Source organism: Homo sapiens, chromosome 17, assembly GCF_000001405.40.
Source record: "Homo sapiens chromosome 17, GRCh38.p14 Primary Assembly".
Taxonomy (NCBI): Eukaryota; Metazoa; Chordata; class Mammalia; order Primates; family Hominidae; genus Homo; species Homo sapiens.
In genome coordinates, this window is record NC_000017.11 from 36,063,402 (window position 1) to 36,074,612 (window position 11,211).

The 11,211-nt window shown below is 43.5% G+C and overlaps 1 protein-coding gene across 1 annotated transcript; it reads left to right on the plus strand.

Moving 5' to 3' along the window:
- The first annotated feature begins 870 nt into the window (after nucleotides 1-870).
- CCL18 (C-C motif chemokine ligand 18) lies at nucleotides 871-8,631 on the plus strand. The gene is made up of 3 exons (NM_002988.4): nucleotides 871-1,008; nucleotides 7,046-7,157; nucleotides 7,550-8,631. Exons 1-3 carry the CDS (start codon nucleotides 942-944, stop codon nucleotides 7,638-7,640), a joined length of 270 nt encoding a protein of 89 aa, NP_002979.1. The 5' UTR covers nucleotides 871-941; the 3' UTR covers nucleotides 7,641-8,631.
- Nucleotides 8,632-11,211: the final 2,580 nt, after the last annotated feature.

The window sequence follows — 11,211 nt, forward strand, 5'->3', positions numbered from 1 at the left end:
TAGGTTTTTCTCCTGCCTTTGAACTTAAACTGAAACATCATCTCTTCCTGGGCCTTAAGCCTGCCCATTCTCAGGTCTTTGAACTCAAACTGGGACTACACTAGCAGCTCTCCTGGGTCTCCAGCTTGCCAGCTCACCCTGCAGATCTTGGAACTTGTCAGCCTTCATAATTAAATGAGCCAATTCTCTAATTTCTTATTTTTTATACACACACCATTGGTTCTGTGTCTCTGGGGAATCCTGACTTATACAATGGTCTTACCAATGAGTTGCCAAGGTCCATTGGGTATTCATGTGGCAAAAAATAAATCTTGAATCCTTCTTCACACCAAACATAAAAATCAACTCCAGATGGATTGTAATTTAAATATTAATGCTAAAACAATAAAGCTTCTACAAGTTAACATAGGAGGATATCTTTATTGCCTTAGGATAGGGGAAGATTTCTCATTAGATCACGAAAGGCCTAACTGTATATAAAAGATTGAAGCATGTGACTCTCTTAAAAGGAAAAACAATTGTGAAAATCCATTAAAGCATTCTGCTCTATCAAAGGAGGCTGTGACCACTCATTTCTGAGAAATATCTGTCATGTGAAAACATAATCACATGATTATGCATAATCCTAAGCATAATCCCTGGGTGCTTCCAACTCCTGGTCACCCATCTGGAGATACAACTTCTCCATAAGCCCCTCAATCAACAAGTGAACCACTCGTTTGTGTACCCTAAACCTTTCAAGTAACCATAGGCAACCCTGGGCTGAGAACTCACATGACACCACCATAGTTAAAATGTCTTGCATCAGCACCTCCAATGTTCCCATGGTCCAGTCTGCCTATAAAAAGGAGAGACAACAGCTCATACCCCAGAAGGAGGCCAGGAGTTGTGAGTTTCCAAGCCCCAGCTCACTCTGACCACTTCTCTGCCTGCCCAGCATCATGAAGGGCCTTGCAGCTGCCCTCCTTGTCCTCGTCTGCACCATGGCCCTCTGCTCCTGTGCACAAGGTGAGTCTGTCATCCATGTGCTTTGATGGCTCCCTGGGCAGAAGTCAGGCGACATCTTCCAAGTGCTGTGGCCTGAAAACCCTCGTGTGAAATTAGGGATCCTCAAATGGGGTTTCAAAGTGACATCATTGTTTTCTTCAAGAAGGTTGAAAAGCAGTCTATTGATCTGGGCAGCAGGATGGGAGTCAGAGAAGTTTTATCCTACTGAGATAAATGAGATGGTTGAAGTCTAATTCATTGGGTTATTAGCGTGAGGTAGAATCTAGGTCTATTTAGTTCTCACTGGTGCTGGTAAGTTTTACAATGACCTCAGCAGTCTCCTAGAGTTCAACCCCTTGGGTAACATAAAAGATGTCTATACTTTTCTCAGCTATCTTGTGATTTAATCTATTAGAAAAAAAATTCCCCAAGGAGAGTTAGGAGAAGGGCATAGACTATTCAGGGAGCTTGATTCCCTGTAGCGTAAAATAAAGACTAAAATGGAGAGACAAGACTAGGGAAATTAAGGAGAAACAAACAAAAAGCCAGATTATTTCCAGCTTTCTTTTCCTGCAGGCCTCAACTCTGAGCTATGCTGTCTCCCTTTGCTCCTTTGTGACCCGCCTGGGCTTCTTCTCCTGAGCAACTCCTGTTGTCTTTGTTCCCTCAGATAAGATTCACACCCCATGCATCTGCTGCTTCTCCTACACCTCCCAGTAGATGCACTGCAAATTTTCGGTTGCCTATTATAAAACCAGTGGTGAGCGGTCTTAAAATTAAAATCCTATGATATATTTTAATTACTTTATACAGTCAATATTCATTTAGTTTTCATCACATATTTGCTCTTCCTGTCCTCTTAAATTCTTCTGCATCTCTGAGCTCCATCTGCAATCACTTTTCTTCTGCCTAAAGGAATCCTCTTAGTATTTTCATTACTGTGGGTCTTCTGATAGTGAAGTCTCCATTTTTTGCTTGCTTGGAAATGTCTTCATTTTACCTTCATTTTACCTTCACACTGGATATGAAAGTCCATAGTAGCTCCCACCTCCTACTTGTGCTTACGTGCTCCTTGTCCCTTGTCCCATGGGTTGTCTCCTCCATATGCCCTATTTGCAGACAGAAGGACTGATGCTGACATTACGCCAGGGTAAGAGCACCAGCTGCTGGAGTCAGCAAATTTGCAGTGGATATGGAGAAACATAAGAGAGGCAGGAGACAATGGGGTGCCTTAACCGTGAGGGAACCAGCATCCAGAACCTGAGAAAAACCAAGTAAATTTCTTCCACTCTTGAAAAGGGACCAGCAAGAAGTTGATGAAGACCTCACTGCTCAGGACTGTGAAGTAGGGCACAAAAGGAACTAAGGAAGTCAGGCATTCATCCTTGACTTTGAGTGTTTCTTTTAAATCTCTGCCTCTGTCTTACTCTCACTCCCTTGCTCCCTCTTCAGGGAGTATAGCTCTTGGAATGGCTGGCCTTTGTTCCATCTCTTTTGGGTAGGAACTTCATTCAGTCTACAGAGACTTTTCCCAGCAAGAGACCATCGTCTCTAAATCGCTGTAGGAGTAGAGCTTCTCAGGAGAACTGAAGGAACTCTGCCACTTCCTCACCCTAGGAACCAACTAGACCCAGAGTTTGCATCTTGTGAATGACTGAGTTAGGCCCCAGTTTTCCCAACTAACAATGGGTCCTAGCCCTCTCCTGCCTTTCAGATCTAGGTTAGATATCTAAGTCCTCAGAAAATAGCCCAGAACATTTTGAAACCTTTTGTGAAGTTCTTTGATTTTACTTAGAGAATCTTAATCCACAAGAATTAAGTGATATGGCTTAAATGTCTGTCCAGAGCATAGGGAAACAACTCTAAAATGAAGAAAGGACAAGGGTCAAGAGAGTCTCACGGGACAGATGAGACTTGTGAGCTGAGGGCCATGGAGAGGAGATGGAGGGCACCAAAGAAGACCTGTTCAGTGTTGGGCAGGCAGAGGAGTGTAGGCAATGCCAAAACAGGACTGGGCACTCACTGCCACCTACATCGTTCTGGGGTCCAAGCCATGTCCTCAACCCTTTACAGGCAACTCTAAACCATGAGGAGCTGGAGACTGGGGATGACCAGAGGGGAAGATGTTAAGTGCATGGTGTCTTGCTCTGAGTTGTACATGTTGGGGTACCTTGGGTCCCCCAGGGGTTCAGGATGTACAAGAGCAACTCAACTGCTCACTTGTTGGGGCTGAATGTGCAGAAATGTTTTTGACAGTGAGAGAGGGTGAGATGTTAGTGTTGAAGTCATACGTACAAGGAGAGATCTTCAGATTAACACTTCCACCACAGAGCAGCTCTCTAATGCTGTGCTGCAGCTCCTCTGACCACATGGTGTGATGTAAATGGTCATGCCACAGCGTTCTGGGCAGCACAAGTCACATTTAAACCACACCCTGGGTGAAAAGGACCATTACATCGTGTTAATCGGAGTGCTTCTAAGAAATGCTTAACTCATGAGGAGGACGTCAAGAATTGGTGTTACCAAGAAGCCAAGCTTAGCTGGTACCTTCTATCAAGAACAGATCTATTTGTGAATGGCACCATGGTCATTTCCTCCTATGGAACAGATATTTCTAGTGTTGTGTTTCCATTGCACAGAAGTGACATGTAAGATGATACCCCAGAATCTTAAGTAGTTCGAGTTGTGTTTGATCCAGACCCAAATGGACAGAATGGAATAGGGAAAGTCTGGACTATGGGAATGACAAGAATGATGGGGCCAGGCTTTTAACTGCTGTTTGATTCATTGAACATTCATAGCTCCCTACAATATGCCATCATTGGGTTTGACTCTGGGTAATAGACATGAATATGCATGACATATGGGGTGTCTATATAGATCAGGAGCCTTAGATGCCCTTATTTTTTCACCCAGGAAGCCCACAGCTAGGAAAATATCCTACAGAAATAACCTCACTTATGGAGAAAGTTTTTTGCATACAGATGTTTGGCACAACTTATAACAATGAAAAATTGGCCAGGTGCAGTGGCTTACACCTGTAATCCTAGCACTTTGGGAGGCCGAGGCAAGCAGATCACCTGAGGTCAGGAGTTCGAGACCAGCCTGGCCAACATGGTGAAACCTCATCTTCACTAAAAATACAAAAATTAGCTGGGCATAGTGGTGCACGCCTGTAGTTCCAGCTACTCAGGAGGCTGAGGTAGGAGAATCGCTTGAACCTGGGAAGTGGGGGTTGCATTGACCTGGGATCACACCACTGTACTCCATCCTGGGCAACAGAGTGAGACTCCATCTAAAAAAAAAGGAAAAATTGAAACCAACCCACATATGTTACAGTAGTGCATGACAATATTAATGCACTAGGCTTAAGTAAATTAGGCAGTTCTTAAAAATACTGGAATGATTTGGAAAAGTCTTTTAATATTAAGCACAGTCATATGCTGCATAACAATGCTTTGGTCAATGACAAACTGCATATATTATACAGTGGTGGTCCCATAAGATTATAATTCTGTATTTGTACTATACCTTTTCTATGTTTAGATATGTTTAGATATGCAAATACTTAACATTGCATTGCAGTTGCCTACAGTATTCAGTACAGTGGCATGCTGTACAACTTTGTAGCCTAGGAGCTACAGGCTGTACCATACAGTGAAGGTGTACGGTAGACTACACCATCTAGGTTTGTGTAAGTCTATGATATTCCCACAATAACAAAACAGACTAATGACAAGTTCCTCAGATGTATTTTTGTCATTAAGTGATGCATGGCTGTATAAATAAAAAAATACAAAATTAAAACCTGTATCATGACAACAGTAATGTCTTCCCCCACCAGACACAGTAAGAAGAAGGAAAAAAGCAAATGAGCAAACAGTACTATCATAAGCCTAGAAAAAAACTGCACTGGAAAGAAATATACCAAACTGTTTTTTAAAAAAAAAAAGTGGCTAGGTTTGGGTACTAGAATTTTTCCTACCTTCAATGAAATTTTTTTTTCAGGTTTTGCATCAGAATGCACATATGCCACAATAGGGAATGTAGAAAAAAACTCTCACATTCCTGCCTCCGTTTGCCTGCTGCCTACCCAGCTTTGAGATTCTAAATGAGTTTTTATTCTTTTCTGTATTTTATGTGTTTTCAAAATTAGCTTTACTGCTTTTTGGTGTAATCTATAGTTCACATAACAAATCATATAAAAAGCTATTTGAACTAAAAACACTAGTAACATTGCTCTTCCTGTACTCCTATGAGACTCCCTCGTATGCTTGTGGATGAGACATTATGAGGATGTGATGACTGAGAAAGCAGCGGCCATTTTGGGACCACGAGGTGACAAGCTCAAATAAGAAAAGCCAACAAAATGGTGGGGGAAGGGGAGATGTTTTAAGAAGCCTGAGTTCTTGATGACACAACTGAGCTGTTAAACAAACTCAGGGAGGACCACCTGTTTAAATTTATTTATTTACCTAATTATTTATTTGAGACAAAGTCTTACTCTGTTGCCCAGGCTGGAGTGCAGTGGCATGATCAGAGCTCACTGTAGGCTTGACTTTCCGGGCTGAAGCAATCCTCCTGCCTCAGCGTCCAAAGAAGCTGAAACTACAGGCATGCCCAGCTACTTTAAAAAAAAAAAAATTTATAGAGACAGGGTCTCACTATGTTGCTCAGGTTGGTCTCACACTCTTGGCTTCAAGCAATCCTCCCACCTTGGCCTCTCCAAATGCTGGGATTACAGGCATGAGCCACCATGCCTGGCTCTGATGTCCATGGTACATCTATGCTGTTGGAACAGCTGGGGAGGCTATCAGAAGGTTCTGCTCAATGGGAGAAAGGCTTTATCTAAAGACCTGCCCTTGTGAGAAGGCACCAGCTAACCCAGTCTCAGGGTGACACCAGCATCTCACCTCCTTTCACTGTGGAAACCATTTCCCCACCAAGGGATCAACTGAAGCATTCTTGCAAATAGCCTGAATCTTTGTGGTGAGCTGAAGCTCTCCTGGTTTGTGCAATGCACAGCATGACACCAGTATCATGATTAAAAAATTTTCCCCTTCAGAGAGGATCAGGAAAAACTAATGGGTACTAGGCTTAATATCTGGGTGATGAAATAATCTGTATAACAAACTCCCATGACATGAGTTTACCTATGTAACAAGTCTGCACATGTACCCCGAACTTAAAAGTTTAAAAAATGAAAAAAGAAACAAAATTCCTCCTCAGTCTCCCCAAGTTTATATCTTCTAATACCCCAAGGCTGCCTGTAAAGAGAAGAGATGGCTGAGACCCCAGAAGGAGGCAGCGGCTACAAGTCCTGAGTTCAGCTCTTCCCGGCAGCCATGGGAGCTCACACTCTGCCCAGCATCCTGGGGACCCCTGCAGTTGCCCTTGCTGTCCTTTTCTTCACTGAGGCCCTCTGCCCCCAGGCCCGCTGTCCCTTGTGTGAATTTGTCTTTTGCTCTTGTGCCCCTACTGTCTGGCCATGGCTTGGACCCCACTGCCCGAGTCTATCTCTAAGACCTCCAAATACAGAACATCAGAGGGATTTCAGGGACTATTTCCCGAGGAGGATTTTTCTTCCTAAGAGGTTTCAGCAACTCTGTTCTCCACCTCTGGGAGACAGAGGGAGAGTGAGTCCCATTCTATGGATGAGAAAATGGAGGCCCACGGGGATTTTGACAAGAGGTAGGATCTGGGTCCAATTGGTTCTCAGTGGTGTGGCCTTGGCTGTCCTTATGAATTCAGATGGAACTCCCCAAGGAGAGATGGGATGGGAAATAGTTTGCTCAGAAAACTAAATTTCCAGTAAAGAGACATAGAGACCCAGAACCAAGACAGCCAGAGAATGAGAAACACCAAGAGAAAGATGCAGAAATTAAAATGTCAGGGAAAAGAAGAAATGCCAGCTTCCTTCTGGATCTCTTTGTCCCTATATCCCCACCCCAAGCGGTGATATCTCCCAGTTCTTCCTGACTCTCAAGGAAAGGGACCAGGAGCAGCTGGCTTGCCTTGTGAACAATGACTTGGGATCTTTCTGTCCTGTCTCTTGCAGTTGGTACCAACAAAGAGCTCTGCTGCCTCGTCTATACCTCCTGGCAGATTCCACAAAAGTTCATAGTTGACTATTCTGAAACCAGCCCCCAGTGCCCCAAGCCAGGTGTCATGTAAGTGCCAGTGCTCCTGCCCACCCCTCGGGAGGGAGGATGGGAGGTTTGGGGTGAGGTCCCCTCAGAGTACTCAGCTCTCTAAGGCCCATCAAGGTAAAGGACTCCAGGGGAGGCCCCTGCAGTGTTTTGTGACCTGGCCTGGGGCCTGCAGAGTCCTGAAGGGCCTGCCCCTGGGCAGAGGGAAGAGAGCAGACATGACAACAGGAAGTTTGCTTCCTGAGGAACCCCATCTGAGACATTTGGGGAAGGCCTGTGAACCCCGAAGTTAAGGGGAAATTTTACGGGCACGAGGACAGGCCCTGAGATGCCTGGGACAGAGAAGGACGCAGGGGCCACAGGATTCCCCTGATGAATTCGTCAGTTCTTAACTCTTCCTCCCTTCTCCACAGCCTCCTAACCAAGAGAGGCCGGCAGATCTGTGCTGACCCCAATAAGAAGTGGGTCCAGAAATACATCAGCGACCTGAAGCTGAATGCCTGAGGGGCCTGGAAGCTGCGAGGGCCCAGTGAACTTGGTGGGCCCAGGAGGGAACAGGAGCCTGAGCCAGGGCAATGGCCCTGCCACCCTGGAGGCTACCTCTTCTAAGAGTCCCATCTGCTATGCCCAGCCACATTAACTAACTTTAATCTTAGTTTATGCATCATATTTCATTTTGAAATTGATTTCTATTGTTGAGCTGCATTATGAAATTAGTATTTTCTCTGACATCTCATGACATTGTCTTTATCATCCTTTCCCCTTTCCCTTCAACTCTTCGTACATTCAATGCATGGATCAATCAGTGTGATTAGCTTTCTCAGCAGACATTGTGCCATATGTATCAAATGACAAATCTTTATTGAATGGTTTTGCTCAGCACCACCTTTTAATATATTGGCAGTACTTATTATATAAAAGGTAAACCAGCATTCTCACTGTGACGACTCTGTTGATTTTGTTTCACTAATCGGAATCACAGACTGAGAGGAATTCTGGGGGAGGAGTAGGGAAATATGAAAAGGGGCAGAAACAGCAAGATAGGGACCAAGTACTTCTACAGTCATACCAGACATTTCCCTGGAGATACTTTCCTGAAAAGTTGAAACAGACACCATTAGTTTATAAACCATATTGTAACTGAAATGTGATAGAAAAATTTTCTACTTAAATGAATATCAAGATGACGCTGCAATGCATATTTACGCACACAAGCTCATTTTCATAAATGAAGCTTTCCTCAGAATGATGGCTAACATCTGTTGAGGTCTTACCAAGTGCTGGGTTTTGGGCTAAGTACTTATATTAGTAAAAGTCTAGCAAATACTGCCCATAGTCTAGCAAGGACTCCTTACCTGGAAGTTGCTGAAAGCCTTGGTAATGTTATCTTTGTTCTCCACTCTGCTTTTGGGGAGGATGTTTTCCATGACTATACGAGATGAGGCTTGGGGCTGGGTGGCCAGAGTTAGCAAATAAAAATACAGAATGGATACTATTTTAGTGTAAGTATATCCCATGCAATATTTGGGACCTACTTGTACCAAAAATGATTTGTTCTTTTTCTGAAACTCGAATTTAACAGGGTATCCTAAATTGTATCTGGCAACCCTCTGAAGAAGGAATACTGCTTATAGAGGTGTCTGTTTCCTGTTGGAGATGTCTGTTGATTTTGGCTTAAGTGTAGAACAGGGCTTTGGCTTAAGTGTAGAACAGGGCTTTGGCTTAAGTGTGGAACACGGCTTCTCAACCTTGAATTCACATTAGAATCACTTAGGAGAGCTTTTAAAAATTCTAATGCCAGGTCCTCACCTCCAAAGTTATGAATTTAATTGGATTGATGTGGGGGCCTGGCATCAGTAATTTAAAAACTCCCCAGGGGATGTTAATGCACAGCCAAGTTTGAGAACCACTGTTGGTGTGGGGTCACAGGCTGTTTTTAACCAGCATTAAGGTTTCAGAGGCACTGCAACTCCGTTCTAATTTTTGAAGGCATCTGATCTAGTTATTTTTGGTTCATTCCATTGGATGGTTAATCATAAGCAGAAAATCTATCAGATACAGTTATTTCTAGAACTGGGTTTTTAACACGTCTCTTCCAGCACAGCACTGGGAGCTCTGTGGTCATCCCTTCCGCCGCCCACCGGCTCCCCCATTGTATTGACTCCACATTGCCCCCTGCTGGTGAAACAAGTGCGAAGGTCAGCGTCTTTAGCTCCCTGCCTCTGATGAATACAGCTGCACCTTCACAAAGAGCACAGCTGTTCATTGTGATGGTTAATGTTACGCGTCAACTGGACTAAGCTAAGGGATACCCAGGTAGCTGATAAACATCATTTCTGAGTGTGTCTGTGTGGTGTTCCAGAAGAGATTAGCATCAGAAGACTAAAGAAGATCTGCCCTCACCAATGCAGGCAGGCATCATCCAATTCACTGAGGTCCCAAATAGAACAAAAAGGCTGAGGAAGGGTGACTTTGCTGTCTGCGTTTGAGCTGGGACATCCATCTTCTCCTGCCCTCTGACATCCACGCTTCCGATTCTTGAGCCTTCAGACTCAGACAGGGACTTGTACCATCACCTACCCTTCTTGACCCCTTCTCAGGTCTGTGAACTTGGACCAGGACTGACAACTTTGGCTGCCCTGGTTCTCAGGCCTTCAGACCAAATCACACCACTGGCTTTCCTGGTTCTCCAGCTTGCAGATGGCAGGACTTCTTGGCTTCCGTAATTGTGGGAGCCAATTCCCCTAATAAATATCTCGGTATTTATATCTATATCAACATTGGTATCCAATCTATATCTATAGAGAGAAATAGCCTACTGTTTCTGTTTTTCTGGATAACTGACTAATACATTCATTTTATCATCAAGATAAATATTTACAATGTGGGATCTGAGAAGGAGGTGGATTTGGCTGCTTCGGGACCTGCTTTCCTGTCCTGCCTAATCTCTCACCTCCTCATTTTTGCTTATATTAACATTAGCTTGGACTGGAAAATTCTGCTCTTCTAGTCCTGCAAGCTCCAGATCACAGGATTCTTAATTAGCTTGGTTTTCAGGCAGCAAGCAGAAAGTACATTTCTTTAAAAAACTACTTTTTTTCCCCTTCTCTGCTATCAGAAGAATCAGTTTCAAAGTAAGTTAATTTCTTTCTTAGTGGGCCTTACTAAGACTGATGCAAGAAATAGTCTCCAATACCCTGAATTTTCGTTTTTGATAAAACTTTGGCTCGAAGATGGACTTAGAATATATAACAGGCCATGGGGGTAACCGGCAATTTTGGTAACTAGAGGTATCCCCACTGACTTTGACCTTAGCTACTGCCTTCAGCCAGTTCCACGTTTGGGGACCCATACTTACAACATTGCAGTCTATGTTAGTTAGGGATGGTTTAAGTCACAGTGTCAGAAAAATAACTCAATCTGGCTTAAATGATAAAGGGAACTTATTAGTTCACATAACTGAAGCTTCAAGAAATAGAATTAGTTTCAGGCAAAACTTGATTCAGTGGTCCTTGTTTCGCTATGGACTATACATGTCTTTCTGAATTTCTGATCTCCCTGCATTTGAGAGCTTCATCCTAGAAAGAAGTTACTATATTCATCCTAGTTACTCTATTGGCAGAATAGCTTCCAGAAACTTCCAGAGCAAATTGGGAAGACAATGTCTGTATCCTCGTATTTTGAGCCAAGAGCCTGAGTTCCACTTTTATTGGTCTGGCTGGCTTGGATTAAGAGCCCATCTCTTAACCCAGGGGCCAGCAAACTATGGCCATTGGGCCCAATTTGACCTACTACCTGTTTTTGTATGGCCTGCGAGCTAAGATGTTTTTACATTTTAAGTCATTGAAAACATCCAAAAGAAGATTATTTTGAGAAATATGAAAATTGTATGAAATTGGAGTTTTAGTGTCCATAAAAAAGTTTTATTGGAATGCAGTTGGGTTTATTTGTTTCTGTATTGTTTACAGCCCACAGTCTAGCAAGGACTCCTTACCTGGAATGAATCATATTTTCATACGACAAAGCAGAGCTGAGTAGTTGTGAAAGACACTGTATGACCCACAAAACCTGAAGT

Coding starts and splice junctions, on each gene's coding strand:
- CCL18 (NM_002988.4), top strand. CDS start 942: ATGAAGGGCCTTGCAGCTGCCCTCCTTGTCCTCGTCTGCACCATGGCC. Junction 1,009..7,045: donor CCTCTGCTCCTGTGCACAAG/GTGAGTCTGTCA, acceptor TGTCTCTTGCAG/TTGGTACCAACAAAGAGCTC. Junction 7,158..7,549: donor TGCCCCAAGCCAGGTGTCAT/GTAAGTGCCAGT, acceptor CCTTCTCCACAG/CCTCCTAACCAAGAGAGGCC.